We start from the raw sequence: 25,703 nt of genomic DNA on the forward strand, positions 1-25,703 counted from the left end.
CCAGACTGGAGTGCAGTGGCGTGATCTCGGCCCACAGCAACCTCTGTCCCTGGGATTCAAGCGATTCTTCCTCCTCAGCCTCCAGAGTAGCTGGGATTACAGGTGCCCACTACCGTGCCCAGCTAATATTTGTATTTTTAGTAGAGATGGGGTTTCACCATGTTGGCCAGGCTGGTCTCAAACTCCTGACCTCAGGTGATCCATCCATCTCGGCCTCCCAAAGTGCTGGGATTACAGGCGTGAGCCACTGCGCCAGGTCAATGTCATCTTGTTACAGGGACACCAGTCATTGGATTAGAGCCCTCTCATATGACCTAATTTTACCTGAATTACCTCACTAAGGGTCCTGTCTCTAAATGCCATCCCATTCTGAGGTACTAGGGATTAAGACTTCAACATGTTCCTTTTGTGGAGGGGGAGACAATTTTTAGCCTATAACAGGTGAAACTGCCATCACTAGAGCTATTTTCTGTTTCCGACATACTTTTCAGAGCATTTTTGAATCTGTTGCAGGAAGCTATGGAAACCCATTCATAATCTCAGCAACATAACTACTCAGTGTAATTTCTCCATGTTGAATGATCAGCTATCAGCATTACTGTTGATTCTTTGAAGATAATGTGCCCTTTCCTCCACCCCAATTGCTTGAAAGTTTCTTGTCTTTGGTTTCAAGCACTTTGATTATTGTGTTAATTTCCTGAGGCTGCAGTAACAAGTTATCACAAGCTTCTTGGTTTAAGATAACAGAAATGTATCCTTTCACTGCTCTGGGGGTCAGAAATCTGACATTCAGGTGTCGGCAGGGCTGTGTTCCTTCTGGAGGCTCTGGTGAGGGAGAGGAAACAGGGAATCCTTCCTTGCCTCTTGTAGCTTGTGGTGGCTGTTGGCAACCTTTGGCTTCCTTGATTTGTGGCCACAAGATCATGTTTCTCTGTGAATAGAGACAGTTTTATTTCTTCCCTTCCGTTCTGGATGCTTTTATTTCTTTTTCATGCTTCATTGCCCCAGCTAGAACCTCAAGCATAATGTTGAATAGAAATGGCAAGAGTGAATGTCCTTGTTTTGTGACCAATCTTAGGAGGAAGACTTTTAGTCCTTCACTATTAAGTATGATGTTAGCTGTGGGATTTGTAATATGTATGTATTTATTTGTTTATTTAGAGACAGGGTCTCATTATATTGCCTAGGCTGGACTTGAGTGCCTGGGCTTAGGTGATTCTCCTGCCTCAGCCTCCCAAATAGCTGGGACTGCAGGTGTGCACCACCATGCCCAGCTCGCTGAGGGACCTTTAGAGATGCTCTTTGTCAGGTTCAGAAGATCTCTTCTATTCCCAGTTTGTTACGTGTTTTTTGTTTTGTTTAGAGACAGTGTCTTGCTCTGTCACCCAGACTGGGGTGCAGTGGTGCAATTTTGGCTAACTGCAACCTCTGCCTCCCAGGTTCAAGCGATTCCTGTGACTCAGCCTCCCAAGTAGCTGAGATTACAGATGTGCAGCACCATGCCTGGCTGATTTTTGTTTTTTTAGTAGAGACAGAGTTTTCGCCATGTTGGCCAGACTGGTCTTGAACTCCTGGCCTCAAATGATCCATCCACCTCAGCCTCCCAAAGTGCTGGGATTACAGGCGTGAGCCACCGCACCCGGTGTGTGTGTGTATGTGTTTTTAAATCATGAAAGGGTGTTTTATTTTGTCAAATGCTTTTCTGTGCCTGTTGAGATGATCATATGGTTTCCCCCTTATTATTACGGTATATTACATTAATTGTATGTTGAACCAACCTTACATTCCTGAGTTCAATCCCATTTGGTGATGGTGTATAATACCTTTTTATATGGTGTCTAATCCTTTGTTGCTTGATTTGACTTGCTAGTATTTTTTTGAGGATTTTGAGCCTATATTCAGAAGGAATATTGGTCTGTGGTTTTCTTTTCTTGTGATAGCTTTGTCTGGTTTTGGTATCAAAGCCTCCTAGACTGAGCTGGAAAGTGTTTTCTCCTCTTTTGCTTTTTGGAAGAGTTTGTCAAGGACTGGTGTTAATTCTTGAAATGTTTGATACAAATCGCCAGTGAAGCCATCTGTTGCTGGGCTTTTTATCATTATAAAATATTCTTCCTTTTCTCTAGTAACAATTTTTGTCTTCAAATCTATTTTTTTCTGATGCTGGTATAGCGACTACAGCTCTCTTTTGGCGTCTGGATACTGTTTGTATATCTTTTTCATTCTTTTACTTTCAACCCACTTGTTTCTTTGGATCTAAAGTGTGTCTTTTATAAACAGCATATAATTGGATTTTTAAAAAATTAAAAATTTTAATCTCTGCCTTCTTTTGACTGTACTGTTTAAGCATGTTATGTTTAATATAACTACTGACAAAGTAGGATTTATATCTGCCATTTTGCTTTTTGTTCTCTATATATCTTATATATTTTTTGTCCATCTTTTCTTCTATTACTGCCTTCTTTTGTGTTAAATAGATATTTTCTAGTTCACTATTTTAATTTCATTTCTTTTACTATATTGAAAAATTGTATTAGTTGTTGCCCTGGGCATTATAATTAAATTTTTTTTACCTTATAACAATCTAGTTTTGATTAATAGCAACCTAATTTCATAAATATACAAAAACTGTGCTCTAATGTAGAGTTCTATGCCCTCCCCCTCCTTTATGCTATTATTGTCATACAAATTACATTTTTGTGCATTATAAGCTCATTAACACAGTTTTATAACTACAGTCATGTGCTGTGTAATGATGTTTCTGTCAATGACAGACTGCATATACTACAGTGGTCCCATAAGATTATAACACTGTAATTTTACTTACTTTTCTATGTTTAGATATACAAATACTTACCATTGTGTTACGATTGCCTGGAGTATTCAGTACGATAACATGCTGTACAGGTTTGTAGCCTGTAGTGATAGGCTGTACTGTATAGCTTTGGTATGTAGTAGGCTGTATGATCTAGGTTTGCGTAAGTACACTCTGCTGTTTGTACAATATCAAAATCACCTAATGGTGCATTTCTCGGAATGCATCTCTGTCATTAACAGTCCATGACTGTATTCCTTAGTGTAGTTGTCTTTTAAACTGGATAGGAGAACAAAGGAGTTACAAACAGAAATACAATTGTACTGTCTTTTTTTTTTTTTTGAGACAGAGTCTCACTCTGTCACCAGGCTGGAGTGCAGTGTTGTGATCTCGGCTCACTGCAACCTCTGACCCCCTGGTTCAAGTGATTCTCCTGCCTCAGCCTCCCAAGTAGCTGGGATTACAGGCACGTGCCACCACACCCGGCTAATTTTTATATTTTTAGTAGAGACGGGGTTTCACCATGTTGGCCAGTCTGGTCTCTATCTCCTGACCTCGTGATCCGCCCGCCTCAGACTCCCAAAGTGCTGGGATTACAGGCATGAACCACCGCGCCTGGCCTGTACTGTCTTTTATATTTACCTGTGTAGCTACCTTTACCAGTGCTCTCTATTTCTTCATATGGATTTCAGTTGCTGTCTGGTGCCCTTTCATTTCAGTCTGAAAAAGTCTATTCAGTATTTTTTGTAGAGAGTGTCTGCTAGTGACAGATTCAGTTTGTTTCTGTTTATCTGGGAATGACTTAATTTCTCTATTTTTAAAGGATAGTTTTGCGGGATGTAGAATTGCTGGTCGACAGTCCTTCTTCCTAGCGTTTGTATATCCCACTGCCTTCTGGTTATTGTGGTTCCTGATGAGAAGCCAGCTGCTACTGAGGATTATTTGTGTGTGATGAGTGATTGTCTGCTTTCTGACAGTTTGATTATGATGTGTTTAGGTGTGGACCTCTTTGAGTTTATCATGTTTGGAGTTACTTGAAGTTCTTGGATGTGTAGATTAATGTTTTTCATCAAATTTGGGGAGGTTTTGCTATTGTTTCCTTTTCTTTTTTCTTTTTTTATTTTGTTTTTTTGATAGAGTCTCACTCTGTCACCCAGGCTGGATTGCAGTGGCTCAGTCTTGGCTTATTGCAACCTCTGCCTCCCAGGTTAAAGCAATTCTTGTGTCTCAGCCTCCCAAGTAGCTGGGACTATAGGTGCACCGTGCACACCACGATGCCAGCTAATTTTTGTATTTTCAGTAGAGACGGGGTTTTGCCATGATGGGGTATTGCCAGGCTGGTCTTGAACTCCTGGCTTCAAGTAATCCACTCACCTCAGCCTCCCAAAATGCTGGGATTACAGGCGTGAGCTATTGTTTGAGAATACAGCTATTGTTTCTTTAACTACTCTTTCTGTCCCCTCTCACTTTTCCTTTATGGCTCCTCTTACGCACACATGAGTGCACCCAATGGTGTCCCACAGGTCTCTGAGGCTCTGTTCATTTTTCTTCATTCTTTTTCCTTTCTGTTCCTCAAACTGGATGATTTCAACAGATCTGTCTTCAGGTTTGCTCATTCTTTCTTCTGCCAGCTTGAAACTACTGTTGAGACCCTCTAATGAAAATGTTGTTTTAGGTATTTTACTTTTCAACTCCAGAATTGGATTCTTTTTTATAGTTATATCTCCTTATTGATGTGCTTTATTTGTGAACACATCATTCTCATAATGTTCTTGAATTCTTTAGACAGTTCTCTAGTTCTTTGAACATATTTCTAATAGCTGATTTAAAGGCATTATTTAGTTATATCCACCATCTGGGTTTCCGCAAGGACGATTTCTATTGACTGCTCTTTCCCTTGTCTAAGGAGCATACATTCCTGTTTCTTTGTGTGTTTCATTTAAAAAAATACTAGATGTTTTTGTGGCCAGGCGTGGTGGCTTACGCCTGTAATCCCAGCACTTTGGGAGGCCAAGGCGAGTGGATCACGAGGTCAAGAGATCGAGACCATCCTGGCCAACATGGTGAAACCCCGTCTCTACTAAAAATACAAAAATTAGCCGGGTGTGGTGGCATGTGCCTGTAGTCCCAGCTACTCAGGAGGCTGAGGCAGAAGATTTGCTTGAACCTGGGAGGCGGAGGTTGCAGTGAGCCAAGATTGCGCCATTGCACTCCAGCCTGGCGACAGAGTGAGACTCCATCTCAAAAAACAAAAACAAAAACAAAAACAAAAACAAAAACAAAAACAAAAACAAACCCAAACCCCCCCCCCCAAACCCAAAGCAAAACAAAACAAAAAAAACTGGATTTTGTTTATTTGTTTGTTTGTTGTTGTTTTTTGAGACAGGGTCTCACTCTGTCTCACTGCTTCCAGGTTGGAGTGCAGTGGCACAATCGTGGCTCACTGCAATATCCGTCTCCTGGGTTCAAGTGATTCTCCTGCCTCGGCCTCCTGAGTAGCTAAGACCACAGGCGAGCACCAACACACTTAGGCTGTGGATGTTTTAAATAACATAATTTGCTGATTATGGGAATCAGATCCCACCCCCTGCACCAAGGTTTGTTGTTGTTTATTTAGTGAATGTCCTGGAAACTCTGTGGTGTTTGTATTCTCTGTCATGTGTGGCTACTAAAGTCTCTGCTTGGTTAGCTTAGTTGTGAGCTGATGACTGGTCAGAGATTTCCTTACATGCCTTGAACTGATAAGTCTCCCATCATTTGCTGAGGGGCTCCCTACCATTGTGTTGAGGCACATCCTCAACACCCTAGCACTTTACAAAAGCCTTCACTTCTTGCATGTGCTTCAAGGTCATTCTGAGGTGAGTGATGAGGGCCCCTTTCCTAGGCACACGCACAGCCCTGCACATAAGCATGATCCTCTAGATGTCCTGTGGATGCCTCATTCTCCAGATTTTCATTTTAAGTTTCTTGGTTGGCCTCTTGTTTGCCCTAACTGGTATGGCCTCCTTGGGAAGCTGTGATGTTAGACAACTGCTGCTGATTGTTTTTAACAAATACTTTGGGGCTAGGGCTTTCCTCATTGAGCAAGCTCTGAGTCAGGTCAAACAAAGACAAGTCCTGGCTGGGTGCAGTGGCACACACCTATAATCCTAGCACTTTGGGAGGCTGAGATGGGAGGATCACTTGAGGCCAGGAGTTTGAGACCAGCCTGGGCAATATAGCGAAACCTCATCTCTAAAAAAAGACAAGTTCTACAAATGAGGCTTTATATGCCAAATAGTGAAAGGGGCTTTCTTGGGAGTCTCAAAGCTGTTTTTCCCCCTCCTGTGACTGCTAGGCTGGTAGTTTTCACAGCTGCAATAGTTCTGAGACTGCTGATTTTCAGGCTACTACAGGCTTGCAAAGAGGAGGCTGAGAAGAGGGCAAGTTAGAATGCTGCACAACTCAGCTATTTTTCTTGCATCTATGCTCCTCGGATTGTTGGTTGATTTCCAGAATTTTAAAAAGGTAGATTTTGACAACTTTTGCCAGTGTTGTTGTTGACTTTGTGGAGGACCGTGTGCTCAAAGATCCTTAATCCTCATCCTCAAAGTGCTTCTCTGTATTGTTTCTTTGTTTATAGCAGCCACAAAGTCTTGCCCAGAGTGTTATGTTGCTTAAAATAAAGTCATTGAGAGCTGCTCATAGCAAGAGAGATATTGTAAAGACTCAAATGTATGACAGCACTCTTTTTACTTTTTTTTGAGAAATATTTAATGAAAAAACCTGAGAATATATGTCTAAGTGGTTGTGACTGAGGGGAAAATCATGGGTTTCAGCTTCAGATGCACCCAGGTTCAAATTCCCGCTTCTTCGCTGATCAGTTGTGGAGTTCATTAACTTTATTAGCCTCGATTTCTTCATCTGCCAAATATTAATAATATTGCCTGTTTTGTGGGACTATTGTGAGGATGAGAAATAGGGCACCGGGGAGGTGGCTGAAGTTCCCATCAGGTGGCAACAGTGATGTCATTAGTAGCTGCCTGATCTGCCCAGGTGAGGAGCTGCTCAGCTGGATCACCTGCCTTTGAACCTGGTGCCAGAGTCATCCCAGCACTCGGACCCTCAGAATCTCGGAGGAATCAGCCAGCTTTGATTTTCTACCTGCTCTGTCTTTCCATCAACCTTAATTGTGGCCCAGTTTGCTTTTGTTGTAGGTTTTGAGCAACAGGCAGAACAAGTGAAAGGTCAGGGTGGCCCTGGACAGAGTTGGGAAGTGGAAGAGAAGCACTTGACTTTGAAGATGCTTCTTTTTATTTAATCAACATTTTATTTGCATTCAGGCAATGAATGTGCACTGTAAGTCACAGAGTGCTACAGGGCTTATGCTCAAGATAGCAGCCTCCTCCCGAGGCCTGGTTCCCACTCCCAGTGCAGCTCTAGTGCTGCTTCTCTTGTTTCTCGAAGGAACAACCTGGGATTGCTATGTTTTGATTTTTCAATTTAGACATTACTTTTAGATTTCTTATAATGGGAAATGAAGATTTAGAGATTTAGCTTCCCCACTCACATATGCATCTTTTCACCTGTTAGTATTTCTATCCCAATTTTTGGTTGAATATTCATTATGTGACATTATTTTTTAAAAGTAGTTAATTATTTTGTTTGTTTGCTTATATTTTCATGTGTCCATCATAGTTCATCCTCAAGTCTTCTGCAGAGCTTTAAACACCCCTCTGTAGTGTGGTGAGATGTGCTAGGTCATCTGTCTTCTAGTTTTTCTTGGAGGCTTACCTCCTGGAGCCTCCAAGGCCTGCTCCCATTGGGACTGATTGATTTCCAGTCCTGCTCACAGTCACCATCTTCAGATGGCCATCATCTCCTTTCACCTTTCTTCTGTCTTGTAACCCCTGGTTCTGGGATCCAATGGTTTCCTTTTTCTTGGTTTACTCCCTCATTTTGGTGGAGCACACCCTCCAGTAGCTTTCTGAGAAAGTGCACAAGAGAAATATCTGGCAGACTTGCATGTTAGAAAAGATCTTTATTCTGTCCTGTCTTAACTAATAGTTTATCTAGGTATAGAATTCTGAGTTGCAGATCATTTTCCCCTAGAGTTTGGAAGGCATTTTTCCTTTTTTTTTCAGTGTCACTGTTGAAAATTCCACTGCTGTTGGGATTTCTCATCCTTTATATATAACCTGTTGGGTTTCTGGAGAATGTGCTTAATGTGGGTCTTTACTTCATTTATTTTTTCCAAGCACTCTGTTAATGGAAAAATTTTGTCCTTTAATTCAGGAACTTTTCTCATCTCCAGTTTTTTCTTCCATCTCTTTTTCTGATTTCTCTTCCTGCAACTTGTAGTACTCAGATGTTGGGCTTATGATTTTTTCTTTTTTTTTTTTTTTTTTGAGACAGGATCTTGCTCTGTCACCCAGGCCAGAGTGCAGTGGTGCAGTCACAGCTCACCACATCTTTGAATTCCTGGGCTTAAGCTGTCCTCCCACCTCAGCCTCCCAAAGTGGTGGGATTACAGATGGGAGCCACTGTGGCCAGCCTGATTTTTAAATCTTTTCTCACCTGTTATTTACTTCATTGTCTTTTTTATTTTAGTGTCTGGGAGATTTCCTTGACTTCGTCTTCCCTCTTTTGGTCAAATTAAAAAATATCCTGCTATGTTTTTATTTCTTTTGTAAAAGCACCCTGCTAAAATTTCATGGGTGCAATATTTTATTATCTCACCAAGGATGTCAATGATATAGTTTAAAAAAGCATTTTCCTGCCTCAGCCTTCTTTCCTCTAATTTCTTTTCCTTGTTTGATTTGGCCTCTGACTCTTTTTTCACTGTGGTTGATTTTTCATTTTTTCTTTTCTTTCTTTCTTTCTTTCTTTCTTTCTTTCTTTCTTTCTTTCTTTCTTTCTTTCTTTCTTTCTTTCTCTTTCTGTCTGTCTGTCTTTCTTTCTTTTCTTTTCTTTCTTCTTTTCTTTGAGACAGAGTCTTGCTCTGTTGCCCAGGCTGGGGTGTAGTGACGTGATCTCGACTGACTGCAACCTCCGCCTCCCAGGTTCAAGTGATTCTCCTGCCTCAGTCTCCTGAGTAGCTGGGTTTATAGGCGCCCGCCACCACTCCCAGCTAATTTTTGTATTTTTAGTAGAGACAGGGTTTCACCATGTTGACCAGGCTGGTCTTGAACTCCTGACCTCAGGTGATCAGCCTGCCTCAGCCTCCCAAAGTGCTGGGATTACAGGTGTGAGCCACCGCACCTGGCCTTCACTGTGGGGTTTTTCTCAGAGGCTTGATGACACTGCATTTGTGTATATGAATTGAACATCTGAAAGCTGTTGGTCAGCTCTGTGTGTGTGTGTGTGTGTGTGTGTGTGTGTGTGTGTGTGTGTGGTGGGCATAGGGGGATGTGATCATGGGGCCCTGGCCATGTCTTTGGGCAAGCCCTATATTGATACCTATGGGTTTTTCCTCCTGCACCTGTTTTTCTCCCCAGTTTTTGCTTTCCAAGTCTGGCTTCCAGATTTGATAGCTAAGTGGGTCTGGAGGCTGGGACCCCAGGGTTCATCCCCTTGCCTCGATGTTCCCTAAATGGGGCTCTCTGGAGTTTTTGTGTGACCCTGGTAGTGCTCCCCACTTTTGTGGGGATGAGAGGCAAAGGGCATGGCTGCTGGATGGGTGCAAGGTGGGAGGGGCCCGGGTCCCACCTGCTTCTCATACAGGTTCTAAGTCAGACTGCAGCTCTTGGGCTTCTAGTCCTTGAGACCCCCTGGGACTCTGGCCACAGCTCACCTTGCTTCTTGTAGCTCCACATTTCTCTTACCCACTCCCAGGACTTTGGTTTTAGTTTTCTTTGCTCAGCTAAGCCAGTCTACCCATCCATCTCTTTCCAGCTTCCAAACCTCTGTCCTTGGCAGGCCATGCCTTTTCCTTCCTTTATTGCTGATTTCATGGGATGTCAGCCACAACTGGGGACAAACATGGGCCTTCAGAATCCCGTCCTATACAAGGGCCCCTTGGTTCCCACCATCTGACCCTGTTAACACCCTCCGTGGGCACCCCACCCCGGTACCACATACACACCTGCCTGGAGGGTCTCAGAGAATTGAAAGAGCTCTCAGAGGTCAGGACCTTTATGTCACGTCTTCATGGAACAGATGGGGAAACTGAGGCACGAGGAGGGGAAAGGCCTCACTATCCCAGGTCGCATGGTGAGATAGTAGAGAGCTGAGCCGACTCTCAGGCCAGGGCTCTCCCACAGCCTCGTGGGGCAGCTCCGTGGCATGGGCCTTGAAGTCATGGACTCTTGATGTCTGCCGAGTGAACGGAGACCATGACAGTTGGGAGGCTGCCACCTGATGGGCTCATCTCATCCTAACAGTGTTGGTTACCATCCGTGGGCCAGCTATTTGGCCTCTGGGGACATCCTGTAGCCGATCACTTAGGAGACCTTGGTTGAATCATGTGACCTCCCCGGCCCTTGCCATGGGTTGTAAGGGACGACGGAACCTCATGGATTCAGTGGCTGTGTGTTGAGTGTGTACTTATCACCGAGCCCCGTGCTGGCGGTAGAGCGCTGAACAAGGCAGGGGCCTCGAAGGGGCTCCCAGGGTGCTGGGGAAGCAGACAAATCAACCCGCGGTTGGTTTGGTTGTCAGGGCTGTGAGAAGCACGTCCCTGGGTGCTTGTTGGGGGGCACCCATCATCCTGCTAGGGTTGAGTGAAGAGAGCGGCTCTTGGAAGGTGTCTTGGAGGAAGTGGCCCTGGGGTTGGCTGATAAAGTGCGAGTTGAATTGGAGTTGACTCAGAAGGAAGGGCGGGAAGAGGATCCTGGTGTGTGGAACAGCAGATGCGGATGCCAGGAGACCGTAAGCACCCACAGGGGTGCAAGGTTGGACGAGGAGGGCTGAGATCAGAGCACTGCAGGGAGTGCAGTAGCCCCTGGGGAAGCCGGGGGCCACCAGGGCCCTTTTGTGCACATCTCTGGGCACGTGTGTCCTTCCGGACTGCGACTTCTGAGGAGGTTCCCACAAAGTCCTGCTAGCTACAGGCAGCCTTGATTTTTGGGGGAAAACACAGAAAACTTTCGGCCTGAAGTCATATGTGCTCTGCAGTAGCAGTGGAAACAAGCAGTTGAAGATGATTAGGACTGAATGTTCCTGTTTTTAAAACATTTCCCAGGAAAAACAAATGTTTGAAAGTTAAACATTTTGGCTATTAGGATGGAACAGAAGAAAAATCACATTTGCCTTTTAAATCCAGGCACCAGAGCTGAGTTTTGAATCCAGCAGCCTCCCATGAGGACCCGTGGAGGCTGGATGAGGCCAGGGGGTCTGCAGCTCATTGGGGGGTCTGCCATCCTAGGATGTCTGTTCTATCTGGGGTGTTGTGGCACCGAGCTCTGGGAAGCCAGACCTGGGTCCCAGTGAGCTGCTGTGTGCCCAGGTAGGTGACCTGAACTTGTAGAGCCTCAGTTCTCATCTCCAGCTTCGCAGCTCACATTTCTGGGCTGTGCTATACATTGCAGCGTTAATCTTCCTGAATAGCCCCGAAATGCAATGAAAATGGCTAACATCCAGGTTGTATTAACCTTGCCTTTTATTTTCTGTATTCTGATGCTTTGACATCTGAGGGCCTTGCTGAGCCAGGGGGATTGTCTCTCCCTGGGTTAACCAGTTCCTAGATACAGCAAATAACTACACAAGCCAACCACTCCACAGCCCACAGTAGAGTGGACAGGGCCACTATCCACCTGCCCTGATCACCCCAGGGGCAGTGCCAGACAGTTAGGGACAGCCCTCATGTCCTAGAACCTGCCAGAATTATTCGAACTAGACAGTCCTAAGTCTCTTTCCCTTGCCTTGCCCAACCCTTCCTTTGGAAACCATGAAACAGGCTCCTGCCCATGTTTCCCCCTCACCCTCCACCTCCTGATTGTCCCTGGTGCTTCCCTGTCTGGCCAGGCATGGTGGAGCGTGGCTTGCGTTTTTAGAGAACTGTGAGTGTAAGCCTCCTTTGTGACAGCCATTTCTGTGTCCATGTGTCTTATCAAACTTGCTTAAAAACAAATCCGTGCAGAAGTATAGGTACAGCGTGGGGCTCACGTGTCTTCATCAGCTTGATCATTGCAAGAACTCTGTGGGGAAGCATGCGTGTTTTATAAATGGGGACACTAAAGCTCAGGGAAGTGAGGGTTCTCATTCTGGCCAGAGAGCCAGTGGGAGGTAGAGATGGAAGTCAGGCTACGCCCCCTGCACCCCTTGCTGCACTGCCTTTCATCTCTGTCATGGGGAGAATGGCCCGTGCCTGCTAAGGGTGTCTGGAAGCATTGAATGCATGATGCTGGTCGCAGTGCCTGGACAGGGCGCTCAGTACAGGGTAGCAGAATTCAGCTTCTGCAGGCGCAGCCCTGCACTGTGTTCCCCTGAACTCAGCCTTGGCTGTTGGCCCAGACATCTGACTCCAGAACTCTCCCGCCTGTTCAGGTTACACACAGAATTCCCTTTCTCTGCATGGTCAGCCACAGTCTTCTGTGTGTGCTTGGCCGTGTGAAGCCATTCCTGGCGTTCATGCACCGAGTTGCACCAAGACCCCACGGTGGCTCACAGCTGACTCTCGCAGCTTGCTCCATCCTGGTGTGTTTCTAGACCATGCGCCATACCGAGAAGTCTGCTAATGTGAATCTCCTAGACATCGGCAAGTGTTTAAACACAGAACTGTCAAAGATGTACTAAAAATGCAATCAGAGATCGTTATGCCGTCTCTTTATTCCATCCCCCTCTGCTGTGTTCTGCGAGATGGGAATGGGCGGAAGAAGCCATAAGTGGGCATTTTCCTGATTGTCACTGCATTTAGAGAACGCTAAAACTCCACCGGGCTCAATACTTTGCTCCGGGAATGGCATCGATGGTGGAGAAGCTTGCACATATCTTGTTGAATTTAACAGATTATGCAGTTTGGAGGCAGCACTTTCTGTTAAATGGGATGGGTAAGTGTTAGCGATAAAGAATTGTACCTTTTGGAGGGAGATTAATCTCGGAAGCACAAAAAGCAGAGACTTCCATGCACATCCCCCTCTGCCCCGTGCGGCAGCTGCACTTGTTGCAATGTGGAATCTGTGTGCGGATACACAGCTATTTGAATACACGTATGTGGCAAATGGAAAGTGAAAACAACAGGGCCATCCTCTAGTGCTCTTCTGGTTAATACTTAAATGTCTTTGCAACAAGAAATCCACGGCTAGCAAATGCCAGGATGTTGAATGATCTGGCTGGGAAAAAAGGAGGCATTTGGGGAAGATGGTCTGAATGTTTTCATGGAGAATACAAATGTGTAGCATTGCTCCCCAGCTCTGAAAAGCACTAGTTTTGGCATCAAGGACCTAGGGCTTGTGGCAGAGGCTGGGAGATCAGCGTTCTCGCCCACCTAGCAGAGTCCAACTGGCCTGTCTCCAGTTTCAGGGTTTGACCGGTGCCACAAGTCCCTGCTCCACTCTTCCCAGATGTCCTCATATCCTTCCAGTCCCCTAAACTGTCTACTCATCAGGCATGTCCTACCAGAGGCTGGTCATTGTTCAGACATCTCTGAGGCAGGAGGCCAGGGTTCAAGTCCTAGCTCTCTCCACTGTCTCGCTATGTAACCTTGGACAAGTCTCTTCCCCTTTCTGAGCTCCAGTTTTCTCCTGTCCAATCAGCAGCATGGATTAGGAGAGCTACAGGCCTCTTGGTGGTGTCTGATTCATGACTGTGTCCCCAGCGGAGCCTCGCCAGGGTCTGGAACACGGGAACACTGGGGGCTCATGTTTAATCAGGGCTCATGGAGAGCTGACCAGGGCAGGGGGCTTTGTAGTGGGTCCAGCTTCAGGGAAGAAGGTGGGCATTCAGCCTAAGGGGCATTCAGGATAGGCTCAGTGGATGCTTAGCTTCCGTTGGGTTGATGAGGGGAGGTGGATGAGAAAAGGCATTTGGACCCATTTGTGCCCTTGCTGAGACTTACCAAGGCAAGCACAGCCCCCAGCACCTGCACTGCTGTCCACCGTGCCCAGCCCGGGGGTGCTCTGTAGAGAGGCTTTTTCTTTAGCTTCCCCATGTTGTGCCCATCTTTGGTCCAGGGGGTCACGTTATGTTCTGGTCTCCAAGGTTGGTGCTGCCTAATCTCTTTCCACACCTGCTTGGAGAACAGCTACTTTCCCGGGGTTCAGGTACTTCCTGTGGCTTCTCAGGCAGCTCCCATCAGGGCAATGGGGAAGCTCCGCTGTGTGTCAGCCGTCTTACCTGCTGCAGGGAGGAATAGCAGCAGGAAAGGGCAAAGAGAACAACATCCATTTCCTCTGTGTTCAGTGCAGGCATTAGGCAGAAGAGTTTGTATTCATTTAATTTTTCCCCCATAAAGCCCCTGAAAATCAATTAGTTGGTTGAAGTCCCCAAAACACTCCCCTCATTCACTGTTTAGATGGAGGGTTGTGATGAAATTAAGCAAGCGAGCCTCTAATGATTGGTCACTGGGAATCGTATCTATGTTCGGGTTGGTAAGAACTGCAGGGCGATGGGAACACTGGAAAACTAATGCAGCCTTAGGCTCTAACAACAGAGGTGGCAGCCCTAGAACAGAGGAGGAGACTCCTCCTGCCCACTCCGTGATGGTCAGGCCATGCTGGGACTTCCGTTCTGTGTCCTCCATACCCACCTGCAAGAGAGCATGTTTAATTGGAGAAGATTCAGAGATGGACAATCAAGATTGTGGGTAAGGAGGGTGAGTCAAAAAAATGCCCTGCCAGGGACAGTTGGAGGAAACATTTGAGGAGAAGGGGCGACACAGAGGTCAGTTGGTGTAAAGGAGACAGTCAGACCTAGCTAAGGATGGATTGATTGATAAATGCATCCATCCACCCATCTGTCAGTTCACCTATCCACCCACCCATGTATGCATCTATGTATCCGTCTGTCTATAAACCATCTATCCGTCCATCCATCTATATATGCATCTATATATTCATACATATATAAAGCATCCATTCATTCATCCACCCATCCATCCATCTACCCACCCACCAACCCATCTATAAACCATCCATCCATCCATTAATCCATCTATATATGCATCTATATATCCATACATATATAAATCATCCATCCAGCCACCCATCCATCCATCCATCCATAAATCATCCATCCATCCATCCATCCATCCATTCATCCATCTATATATACATCTATATATCCATACATATATAAAGCATCCATCCATAAACCATCCATCTATCCATTCATCCATCCATGTATGCATCTATATATCCATCCGTCTACAAAGCATCCATTCATCCATCTATTCATCTATCTATAAACCATCCATTCATCCATCCATTCATCCATAAACCAGCCATCTATCCATTCATCCATCCATGTATGCATCTATATATCTATCCATCTACAAAGCACCCATTCATCCACTCATCCATCTGTCTATCTGTAAGCCATCCATTCATCCATCCGTCCATCTATAAACCATCCATCCATGTACCCATCCATCCATGTGTGCATCTACATATCCATCCATCTGTAAACCAACCATTCATTCATCCATGCATGCATCCATCTATCCATGTGTGCATCCATATATCCATCCATCTATAAACGATTTATCCATCCATGCATCCATCCATCCACTGAGAGGCGGGGTAGCATGATGGTGCAGAGTACACCTCAGGATACCGCCATAGGGTCTACCAAATGTCCATTGTCCTCTGTAATTGTCAGTCATTTTGCTATTGATTTGTCTCATCTTAGGCAAGCTCTCTCTGGGCCTCAGTTTCGCCAGGTTTACCTGGGGATAGTAACACTTAAGTGTCTGTGAAGGTTATGCACAGCTGGTGAATTGCCAAGTCCAGGTGGACACCCACAGGCATTCTTGTGACTTTGGACTCAGAGGGATGTGGTGCTGGACAGTTTCTGTGTTCATAAGTGGATGTCCCTTTGCCTCCAAGCCATGGAGCAGACAGTGTTTGAGGGTGTCACCCCAGCAGGTGGTGGCTCCTGCCCTGCTCCCTTGCATTATGTATGGGAGCTGGGCCTTGTGCCCCATCCACCCTTTTCTGGGAGGGAAAAAGCCTCAGTCATCAGCTGCTGAGGTGAGAAGAAGAGGGGAGAGCTGACAGCTTCTGCGCTCCGCCCAATCCCCAGTAGTCGGGAGCTGCAGAAATAAATGAAACTGTACAGTTGGAGTAATTTGCTAATTTGCTTCAGTAACACCCCCAGTCAAAGACATGACATAAATACATGAGCACTGGCTCTGCACCCCCAGCTTGGGCTGCAGGATGGATGGGTGATGTGAAGTGGAAATGTGGTGAATCAGAGCCCGAAGGCAGCGATGGTGGCCACCCCCAACCCGAGCTGGGGGCTCTGGCTGCCTCCCTGCTGCAGTGTGTTTGGGGAGGGGCTCGATGAGGGGTCTGCTGGCCTTGGAGGAGTCTGAGGTGCCCGTCTAGAGGGGTGGGGTCAGCTGGACCAGCGTCCCCCTCCACAGCCGTGGGGCCTGGGTGGGTTTCCCAGCCTTTGAGCCTCATTCTGCTCAGCTGCAAAGAGGAGATAATAAAACCAAGTACCTTGGGGGTGCTCTAGGGAAATGAGATCTCAGCTCTCCACCAGCGGTCCAGAAGTGGCCATCTTTCCTGCTGTGTCCTCCCGGACCCACTACCAGCTGCTCAGGCCCACGCAGCCCTCTTCCCTCCTCTCCGCAGCCTGAGCCTCACTGGAGAGGGCTTCTCTGTACCATGCCTGGTCGCACTGTGGGGCTGTGGGAGGCTTCATTCGCCAGACTCCTGCTGGGGCCTGCTAGGGACAGAGCTGGGGGAAGCAAACACGCCTGCATCCATGTTCTTGGAGCTCTCCCATGAGCACAGCAAGCAGAGTTCCCAGCGTCCATCAGGGTGGGCTCTGATGTACAAGAGGAGGGTCAGGGAGGTGGAAGGGGCTTGTAGAATCTCATCCCAGCAGCCTGACTGGAAGAACCTCGGGCCAGGGCCAGGCTGTTCCCTTCATGTCCCCAGGGACAGAAACCCAAATGCCTGTTAAGAGTGGGCGGTACCTTCAAATGAATGAAGTGGACTGGGTGTGAGACGGTAGGGACAGGTGGGGATTGGGGCCAGCTGGACGCATTCATCCTGTCCAAGGGGACACAGACACTCAGCACTTCCTGACTGGACCAGTTAAATTGTATTTATTTCTTTATTTTTAGAAAACAGAAGTAATGAAATGTTATTAGGAATCTCTCAAATTTTTGATGTTGGCAACAAATTCAAGTTTTAAAAAAAAGTTGTGCCAAACAAAATATGTCTGTGGATGGGTCTGGCCTGCCTGCTTCTAGTTTGCAAACTCTGGCCCAGGGAAGCTCTTTGGTTTTTTTGAACATCAAAATTTTGTACATTTCCATTGATTATCTTCTATAATATCAGAACAGTCCTGCAAGGTCGCTGTTACTTTTCTCATTTTACAGGTAAGGAAACTGAGGCACAGGGAAGCTAAGTCGTACAGCGGGTTGGTGGCAGAGTGGGTCTGGGATCCAGGCTGCTGGAGCTGAGATTCTGTGGCCTGCTAAGTACCAGTGGCCCCCATGTACCAGTGGTCCCCCGCCCCAGAGTTGATAAATCCCGAAGAAGAAAGAGCAGTGCTTTCTTTCTCAAACCTGTGAAGCAGTCTGAGGTGGTTGGTGAGTCAGCTATGAGTAGATTGGGATTTTCTGCCTGTTCTGAAGAAAACTTCTGTCTCGCCTTGGGGTTCCCTTTCTTACCGCCCTGGCCCACCCTCCCTGGCCAGGCTGGGACCTGGCCATTTGCCGTGGCCATAGGGCACGTGGTTAGACAGACGGCACAGGTCTCATCTAGCTGGGGGTAGAGAAGAAGCTTATAACGGGGCACTGGACCCTTCTATTTCCTTGCTATTAGGATATAATAATGGCTGTAGTTATAGGACATGTACTGCTGTAAACCTCACTCTACCCTTCCCTGGAGCTCACGTAAGGGCTGGGGAGGCGAGCTCTTCCTAGAGTGCTTCCTGAGAGCTGAGTGTGATGGCACATCTTCCGAGTCTCAGCCCATATTGCAAGCATCCGTTTCCAATAAGAAAAACAATCCTTAGTATTTGGAGCAGAGGCATTTCTGGAATTTGGTTCCCCATGGAATGCTCACACAGCGGAAGAGGTAGAGTTTTTGGTCATGGTGGAAAAGGCTCTGCTGTTCCTGGGCTGCTGTGTTGTCCCAGGGGACAGACCACGGTGCCCGTGCTGCTGGGCATTGCCCCGGGAGGGTGAGGAGTGAAGGGGGTGTCAGGGGCTCATTGGAGCCTGATGGCCAGACAAGTGTTCTGGCACCTTGCCCTGTGTGTGCTTTAGCAGATGAAGGTCATGGTCTTCCAGGGATAGAGGGGATGCCTCGCGAGGTGTCGGTCTTTGTTAGCCACAGTTACTGCTTTGTGAACTGGTTATGGAATGTCACCATTTTCCTGTCTGGGTCCCCATCCACCCCGAGGCCCCTGTGCTGTGCTGGCGTCTTTGCTACTTGCCTGACCCTCCAGGTCACTCTCGGCCCAGGAGGGGCCAGGAGAAAGGCTTGGGTCTCCAAGTGCACTTTCAACATTTCATTTTTTATCCAAATCAGGGCTTACAGGTACCATCTTGACTCTCCAGGCCCATGAGTGCCCAGCAGCTGAGGCTGGTGGGGAGTGGGGAGTCAGGGGCCCAAGCCTGGGGTCAGGCTGGCTCTCAGATGGAGTAGGGGGCAGGGGCGAGTGGCGTTTACTGAGACCGAACAGCTGTGGTGGTCTTGCGCCTGCATAGAGCCAGCCTGGTGGGTGAGGCCTGCCGGGCAGCTGCCGAGAAACCAGCCCCCAGCCAGTCTCTCTTGGGTGACAGTGCACACTCCTGCCTAGGGCATCCAGAAAACTGGACCCCAGAGAGAGAAAGATGTGTACCTTGGAAGAACTACCCAAAAGTTCGCACACAGCAAAGCTGGAATGACACTATTGTAATTCAGTGGCTGTATACATAGACATTTTTGTTTTGATTCCATCTAGATTTTGTTTTGGCTTTGAATTTCCATGGCAGTAGGGGTGGGTACTATAATGTTTCCTGAGTGTGGGGTCTCCAAACATTTGAACTGGGCTCTGCAAAGACCTTGCAATTCCTTTTGGAAAGTGGAGGATAAAGAGTCCAAGATACCCAGGGGGTGGGGGCCTGGGACCGTGAGGCCAGTGACAGCTAGGGCTGGGGATGCAGCGTGGGGGTCTTCTTCCAGTAGAAAACTAGTCCAGACAGAAGAAACTGAGGCAGAGAAGTCCCAGGATGAGGCCAGGCACTCTGCAGCTCAGCAGCCTGGGAGGAACCTGTCCAGCCTCTTCCCGATGATCTCAGGGGGCCGATGGCCAGTGGAGGCCTGGACAGGCAGGACTGTGGGGACAGTGATCAGGCTGCTGCCTCCTTTGATCTGATGAAGACACCTGTTGGGGGCCTGGCAGCAGGTACCCCTGTCAGCGATTCCAGCAGCTTCCTCCTGCCCGCCCCTCTCTCAGCCATGCTGTGGCTTCTGGACAAGCTGACAGCTGTGTGCTGTGTGTCTGTCTGTGTCCACCCCTGCAGGCAGCCTGCCCTATGAGTACAAGATCGTGATCGCGGGCAACCACGAGCTGACCTTTGACCAGGAGTTCATGCAGCTTCCTCCTGCCCGCCCCTCTCTCAGCCGTGCTGTGGCTTCTGGACAAGCTGACGGCTGTGTGCTGTGTGTCTGTCTGTGTCCACCCCTGCAGGCAGCCTGCCCTACGAGTACAAGATCGTGATCGCAGGCAACCACGAGCTGACCTTTGACCAGGAGTTCATGGCCGACCTCATCAAGCAGGACTTTTACTACTTCCCATCTGTGTCGAAGCTGAAGCCGGAGAACTATGAGAATGTGCAGTCGCTGCTGACCAACTGCATCTACCTTCAGGACTCGGAGGTCACCGTGCGGGGCTTCCGGATCTATGGCTCCCCATGGTGAGTGGGCCTGGGTGCTGGTCCTGCCTGCTGGTGAGACCAGAGCTGAGGCTGAGCGCAGGGGGTGTAGGGGATGGGAGTAGCAGCAGGGAGCTCCGGATGCGAGGCTCAGGACTGAATCTTGACCCCTTACCCTCTGTGTGACCTAGGCAGGTCACCGCTGCTCTCTGGGCCTGTTTTCCCACATCTCACTGAAAATAGTATTATCAGCTGTAACCTGTGTTATGCTATGCTGTACTAGCTCACTTACAGGCAGGTACTATTATCTCCATTTTACAGGTGAGGAAACTGAGGCCCACAGTGGGTGAGGACCTTGCCAAAGGTCACACAGCTAGGAAGGGGCAGAGCTGGGATTAAACCCAAGCAATTTGGTTCCAGAACCCCTGCCTTTAATGAATATTCTATAATGCTAGGAATCTTTCTCTAATGCTGTCTTCCTGCTCCATACAAAAAAAGATGCATATGTCAGGGGCTGGGGGAGATGATGATCGTAATAATGATGATATTGGTGATGATGGTGATGGTGATGATGGTGGTGATGATCATCATGATGATGGTTGTGGTGGTGGTGGTGGTGGTGATGTGATGGTGATGGTGGTGATGATGATGGTTGTGGTGGTGGTGGTGGTGGTGATGGTGGTGATGATGGTGGTGATGGTGATGATGGTGGTGATGATCGTCATGATGATGGTTGTGGTGGTGATGTGGTGATGGTGATGTGGTGATGGTGATGATGGTGGTGGTGATGATGGTGGTGATGGTGATGATGATGGTTGTGGTGGTGGTGGTGGTGGTGATGATGATGATGAGGGTGAGGGTGAGGGTGATGATAGTATGGTGATGGTGGTGGTGTGATGATGATATTGAGGGTAGTGATGGTGATAATGATGGTGATGATGATGGCGATGCTGCTGATGATGGTGATGATGGTGGTTATGCTGATGGTGATGATGGTGAAGATGGTGATGGTGGTATGGTGATGATGTGATGATGGTAATGAGGATGATTACGGTGGTGGTGGTAGTGATGGTGGTGATGATGATGGTGGTGGTGGTGGTGTGATCATAATGGTGAGGGTAGTGATGGTGATAATGATGGTGATGATCATGGTGGGGGTGGTGGTGATGATGATGATGGTGATGGCAGGAAATAATTTCTGAGCAATTACAGTAATCTGGGCCCTAGGCTAAAGGCTCTATAAACCTTATCTCTAATCCTTACTCAGCCCTGTGAGGACTGATTTATTATCCCTATTCTATAGGTGGACAGAATGAGCGGCCACAGGGTGCCCAGTGCTGGCAGGGTGAGGTGGGCTTCATACATGGAAGGGCAAGATCACATATGCTTAAAAGTGTGGCTTGATCCTGGAAGGCTCCCTGGAGGAGGTGGGGTAACCTGAGCCTTGAGGGAAGAGAAGGGTATTCACAGGCAGGGAGGAGTAACGTGGCCTGAGGCTGCACTATCAGGAAGCAGCACAGTCAGCGAGGCTAAGGAGCCCTTTAGAGGCACAAAGGGCTTGCCTGGGTGGAAGGACTTCAGAGAGAGCTACTGCCAGCACAGAGCATCTGGGAAACCCCTGTGGCCCTGGTTGGTGCCTCATGGTGACCACCTAGTGGCTGGAGGCGGCAGGCAGATTTAGGACCTGGTTTCATCTTGCCATAGCCTCCTCATGGAGCAGAGGGGAAGGTGGGGAGGTGCAGGGCTGTCTCATCTTCCCTGGCCTCGGCAGGTGCCTGCTGTCATCTCCCTGGACTTCACGATGTACAGGGTCTTGGTGAACCCTCCCTGCAGCCAGTGAGGTCCCAGACAAGGACCTCTGGGCACTTGAGGATGTGATGAGGTCAGTACCAAGGACAAGGAGAGGAGGGGAGGTGGCTGAGTCTGCCTCACCGGCCACTAGAGCTCAGATCTGGAGAAGTCTGATAGGCCAAAAACCAGGAGGGCCGTCTAGAAGGAGGACCCAGCAAGCTTTCCCCTTGACCCCCCTACCAGCCAGGTGCACACACACAGCCTGTGCCATGCCAGGGAGTGGGAGAAGCCGAAGGACAGAGAAGGGAACTCGAGCCCAGGAGGTGGGTTCAGGGGCCCTGCTACCCTGCTCCAGAAGGGGTTTGGTGAGATCCAGGAGGGCTCCCTGTTGGAGGGGGCATTTGAACTGGGGCCAAAAGAGGCATGAGATTTCCACAGGCAGAGGAGGCAGAGGGAGACCACATGTCTGAACCTCTGTTATGTGTCAGGCCCTGTGCCAGGCTCTTCTTGGGCCTGTCACTTGACAGCCCTTAACACAAGGGCTGAACGCCCCCTCTCTCCATCCCGCAAGGGAGGCTGTGAGCTGGTGCTCCTCCTGTTCCTCTCAGGCCCTGTCTGGGGCTGGGAGCAGGTGGTGGAGGTGAGACCTGGGCTCATTTGTTGGGCAAGTTTCACTCAGTTTCCAACCGGGGTGAGCAGATTGCCTGCGTCTGCTGCTGTGGTGCCACGGAATGGATGCCAAGCCACTCTGGCCGCTACCCTCCCCTGGGAGGCTGGGTCCCTGCCACCATGCCCCAGCAGAGAGTGTCTGGGAAACCCCTGGGCTGCCCTGGTTGGTGCCACATGGTGGCCACCTGGCGGCTGGAGGCTGTGGGCAGATTTAGGACCTGGTCTCATCTTGCCACGGCCTCCTCATGGAGCAGAGGGGAAGATGGGGAGGTGCAGGGCTGTCTCATCTTCCCTGGCCTCGGCAGGTGCCTGCTGTCATCTCCCTGGACTTCACGATGTACAGGGTCTTGGTGAACCCTCCCTGCAGCCAGTGAGGTCCCAGACAAGGGCCTTTGGGTACTGGAGGCTGTTCAAATTGGGATACCACCACTTTTCAGCTGTGTGACTTTGGGCAGGTGGCTCAGCCTCTCTGGTCTTTCTGTGTAGTGGGGAAACGACACCGCCTGCCTTGTTGGGGGGTTGTGAGGTCTGCTTGGGCCCATCCAGGTGAAGGCCTGGCTCAAAGGAAGGCCCTGGAGAGTGGCTGTGGTCATTTATTATTACTGGGGTGCTCCTTGGGGAGCGAGGAAGAGGATAACTATTTAGTTTTATTCCACAAACCCCAAGGCAGGGCTAGGCCTGCAATTACCCCATTTTACAGAAGGGCAGGTAGAGGTTCAGGCAGGGATGTGGCTTGTCCAGGGCACCCGCGGGGTGGCCCTTCAGGCTGCCAGTCCTAGCTCTTCCTGCTCCAGGGCGGAGGCCATTCAGTGGCCTTTTTGAACGTATCCCGTGTGGCAGGCCTCCGTTCTCAGAACAGCCTTTGGGTGCATATGGGCCTTTTTGGCCCCCTGAGGAGATTGAGGCCTGGGGATTGAGCTGATATCCTCATGCCCTCAGGAATAAACTTGTTAATTCATTCATCAAGGATGTACAGAGTGCCAGGGAGACCCTGGGGACATGGTGTGGACAGACAGACACTGCTGCTGCCTTCATGGGGTTTACGTTCTCGTGGGAGACAGTCAACAACCAATTCCATCATCAATAAGAGCCATGAAGGAGGGGCCTTGGGTGCTGGGGTCAGGGGAGGCTTCCCATGGGGAAAGCCAGAGGTTGAAGAGATACAGGCAGCTAAGTGCAGCTGAAAGGGTGTGGCAGGCAGAGGGAACAGCCTGGGCAAAGGCCAGGAGACTTGAGAGGGCCTGGGGCATTTTGGGGACCACAGAGCTGAGTGTGGCTTCCGGGGGCCTGGGTGGATGACAGCAAGAGAGCAGAGACTGGGCAGCCAGATTGTGTTTGGTGCCGCCAGAACCCAGGTCCCTGGGTCCCCGGCCATACCCCCGTCCACCCACCGTGCTGCTGGTAGCCAGGACTTTGCGGGGCGGCCTTCTCCCTTGAGGGTGTCAGGTAGCCTGTCTGAGCCCTGGGCTTCCCAGTAAGTGGGAAGGTGACATGACGTGATCTAGGGAGCGTGCGACACTACCCTACGAGAGTCTCTTGGTAGAGAGGGACCCTCAGCTGCCGGTATCCCCAGGTGATGCTAGAAGCTCCACAATTGGAAGTGGCATTAACCAGCCCCTAAAACTGTATTCACGGCTGAAGAACCCGCCGGCCTGGCTGCTGATCCTGCCTGGTGTCGAGTGGGGTGTGGGGGGGTTGTGCACCCCCTCCCCAGCTGTCTGTTGAGGTTCTGGCTGGGGCCCTCCACTCCCCTGGCGCCGGCCACCCGGGCATATGGCAGCTCATTCGGGGGGTGCAGGTGATGGAGCTGCTTGTGATCATTGTGAAGTTCAGATGTTCCAGATTTTCCTTTTCTTCCCCTCTGCCCTCAACATATTGGCTACCACGTGGACTGCAGGAGGCATTCCCTCCAGCTTTAGAAGCACAGTTAGACCAGCAGGCAGGGAGCAGGGATGAAACAAACACTAGCAATGAGTGACCTAATAGCTGCTGCAGCTGGACATGTGGGCAGGGCCGACCAGGCTGAGGGGCAGACGTGTTCACCATGTGGCCTTAGGAGGTAGACGGCAGAGCAGAGGACAGAGGGAAGTGACAGGAGGCAGTCTCACCAGTGAGGGAAGACTCCCCCATAGGCAGGCGCCCAGGGGAGAGGTGATGTGGCCTTACCAAGCAGTGAGCTGCCCATCACGAGGGGCATGCAAGCAGGGGGTCTGCTGTGGGTGGGCCTAGTGCCCTTCCAGCCCCTTCCCCTTTACAGGGCCACAGTTCCTCTGCCTGTGGCTGGAAATTCCCCCTTAAGCAGAGGGATGCATGGACCCATTCCCAGGAGGTCCTCTCTCTGCTAGACTTGGAGGCTAGCCTTGATATTGAGGGCTTTACATAGCAAGCTAGAAAGGGGAAGCAAAAAGCAAACATATGGTTATAGCAACTGGCTTTTCTTCTGTTACCACTAAGAGATACTCTGCTTGGGAGAATGGTAGGTCAGATTTTCTTTTTCCCTGGAGATGGGGTCTTGCTCTGTCACCCTAGCTGGAGTACAGTGGTACAGTCACAGCTCACTGCGGCCTCGACTGCCTGGGCTCAAGTGATCCCCCCACCTCAGCCTCCCAAGTATCTGGGACCACAGGTATGTACCACCACGCCCGGCTGATTTTTAAAATTATTTGTAGAGATGGGGTCTCATGTTGTTGCCCAGACTGATTTCAAACTCCTGGGCTCAAGCAGTCCTCAGTGGGTTAGATCGTAATGGTTTTGACTTCCTTGTTTGTTGAGCCACACACTCTGAGGCCCGCTGTGGTTTGTCACGTGCCTGGCTCTGTGCAGGGCTCGGGAGACCCTGAAATGGATCAAGCCTGCCTCCCAGGAGCTCAGGTTTGACAAGGGCCTATAACTACTGGGGGCAGGGGCCTGTGACTGTTGGCATCCTCTGCTTACCCAGCCTTTGCACAAGCCAGACCCCCTGCTCAGTGCTTGCTCGCATGTTCTCATTCAGTCCTTGCAGTGGGTTGATTCTCACGGGTGTGTGCTGGTGCAGTGTCTCTGGGTGGTTTTCATTTGCATTCCCCTAATGACCAGTGAGGCCGAGAATCTCTTCCCATGTTGATTGGCCACTTAGATTTCCTCTTTTGGGAAGTGCTCAAGTCTTTTGTCCATTAAAAACAATAATTGGATTGTTTGTCTTTTTCTTACTGGTTCATGGAGATTCTTCATGTATTCTGATTATGAGTATGAGCCTTTTCCCAGTTGTGATGTTACTAATAGCTTTTCCCCCTCTGTGACCTCTCTTTCCCCTGTCTTAGCAGAGCCTTTGGGTGAACGGAAGTTTTAAATTTTGGTGTAGTCAAATATCTTCGTGTTTTTCTTTGTGATAAATGCTTTTGGTACCTTATTGCAGAGATCTTCTGTTCTCTGAAATAATGAAGACTTATTTCTTTTTCTTTTCTTTTCTTTTTTTTTTTTTTTGAGATGGAGTCT

At 48.9% G+C, this 25,703-nt stretch overlaps 1 protein-coding gene across 2 annotated transcripts in view, besides 1 other annotated feature; it reads left to right on the plus strand.

Annotated features, from left to right (window-relative positions):
- MPPED1 (metallophosphoesterase domain containing 1) overlaps positions 1–25,703 on the plus strand; it is a 95,835-nt gene that overhangs the window by 43,137 nt on the left and 26,995 nt on the right. For both annotated transcript variants that reach the window (NM_001044370.2, NM_001362786.2), the window contains exon 4: positions 19,586–19,811. In NM_001044370.2, the coding sequence (NP_001037835.1) occupies positions 19,586–19,811 (226 nt within the window). The remainder of the gene's footprint in view (positions 1–19,585; positions 19,812–25,703) is intronic.
- Positions 9,827–10,328: an enhancer, noted in NCBI's record as "H3K4me1 hESC enhancer chr22:43860857-43861358 (GRCh37/hg19 assembly coordinates)". NCBI's record gives its function as "activates a minimal SCP1, AML or CMV promoter by ChIP-STARR-seq in naive H9 embryonic stem cells {active_cell/tissue: H9 hESC(naive)}" and the evidence as "EXISTENCE:reporter gene assay evidence [ECO:0000049][PMID:30033119]".

This window comes from Homo sapiens, chromosome 22 (assembly GCF_000001405.40).
Source record: "Homo sapiens chromosome 22, GRCh38.p14 Primary Assembly".
Taxonomy (NCBI): Eukaryota; Metazoa; Chordata; class Mammalia; order Primates; family Hominidae; genus Homo; species Homo sapiens.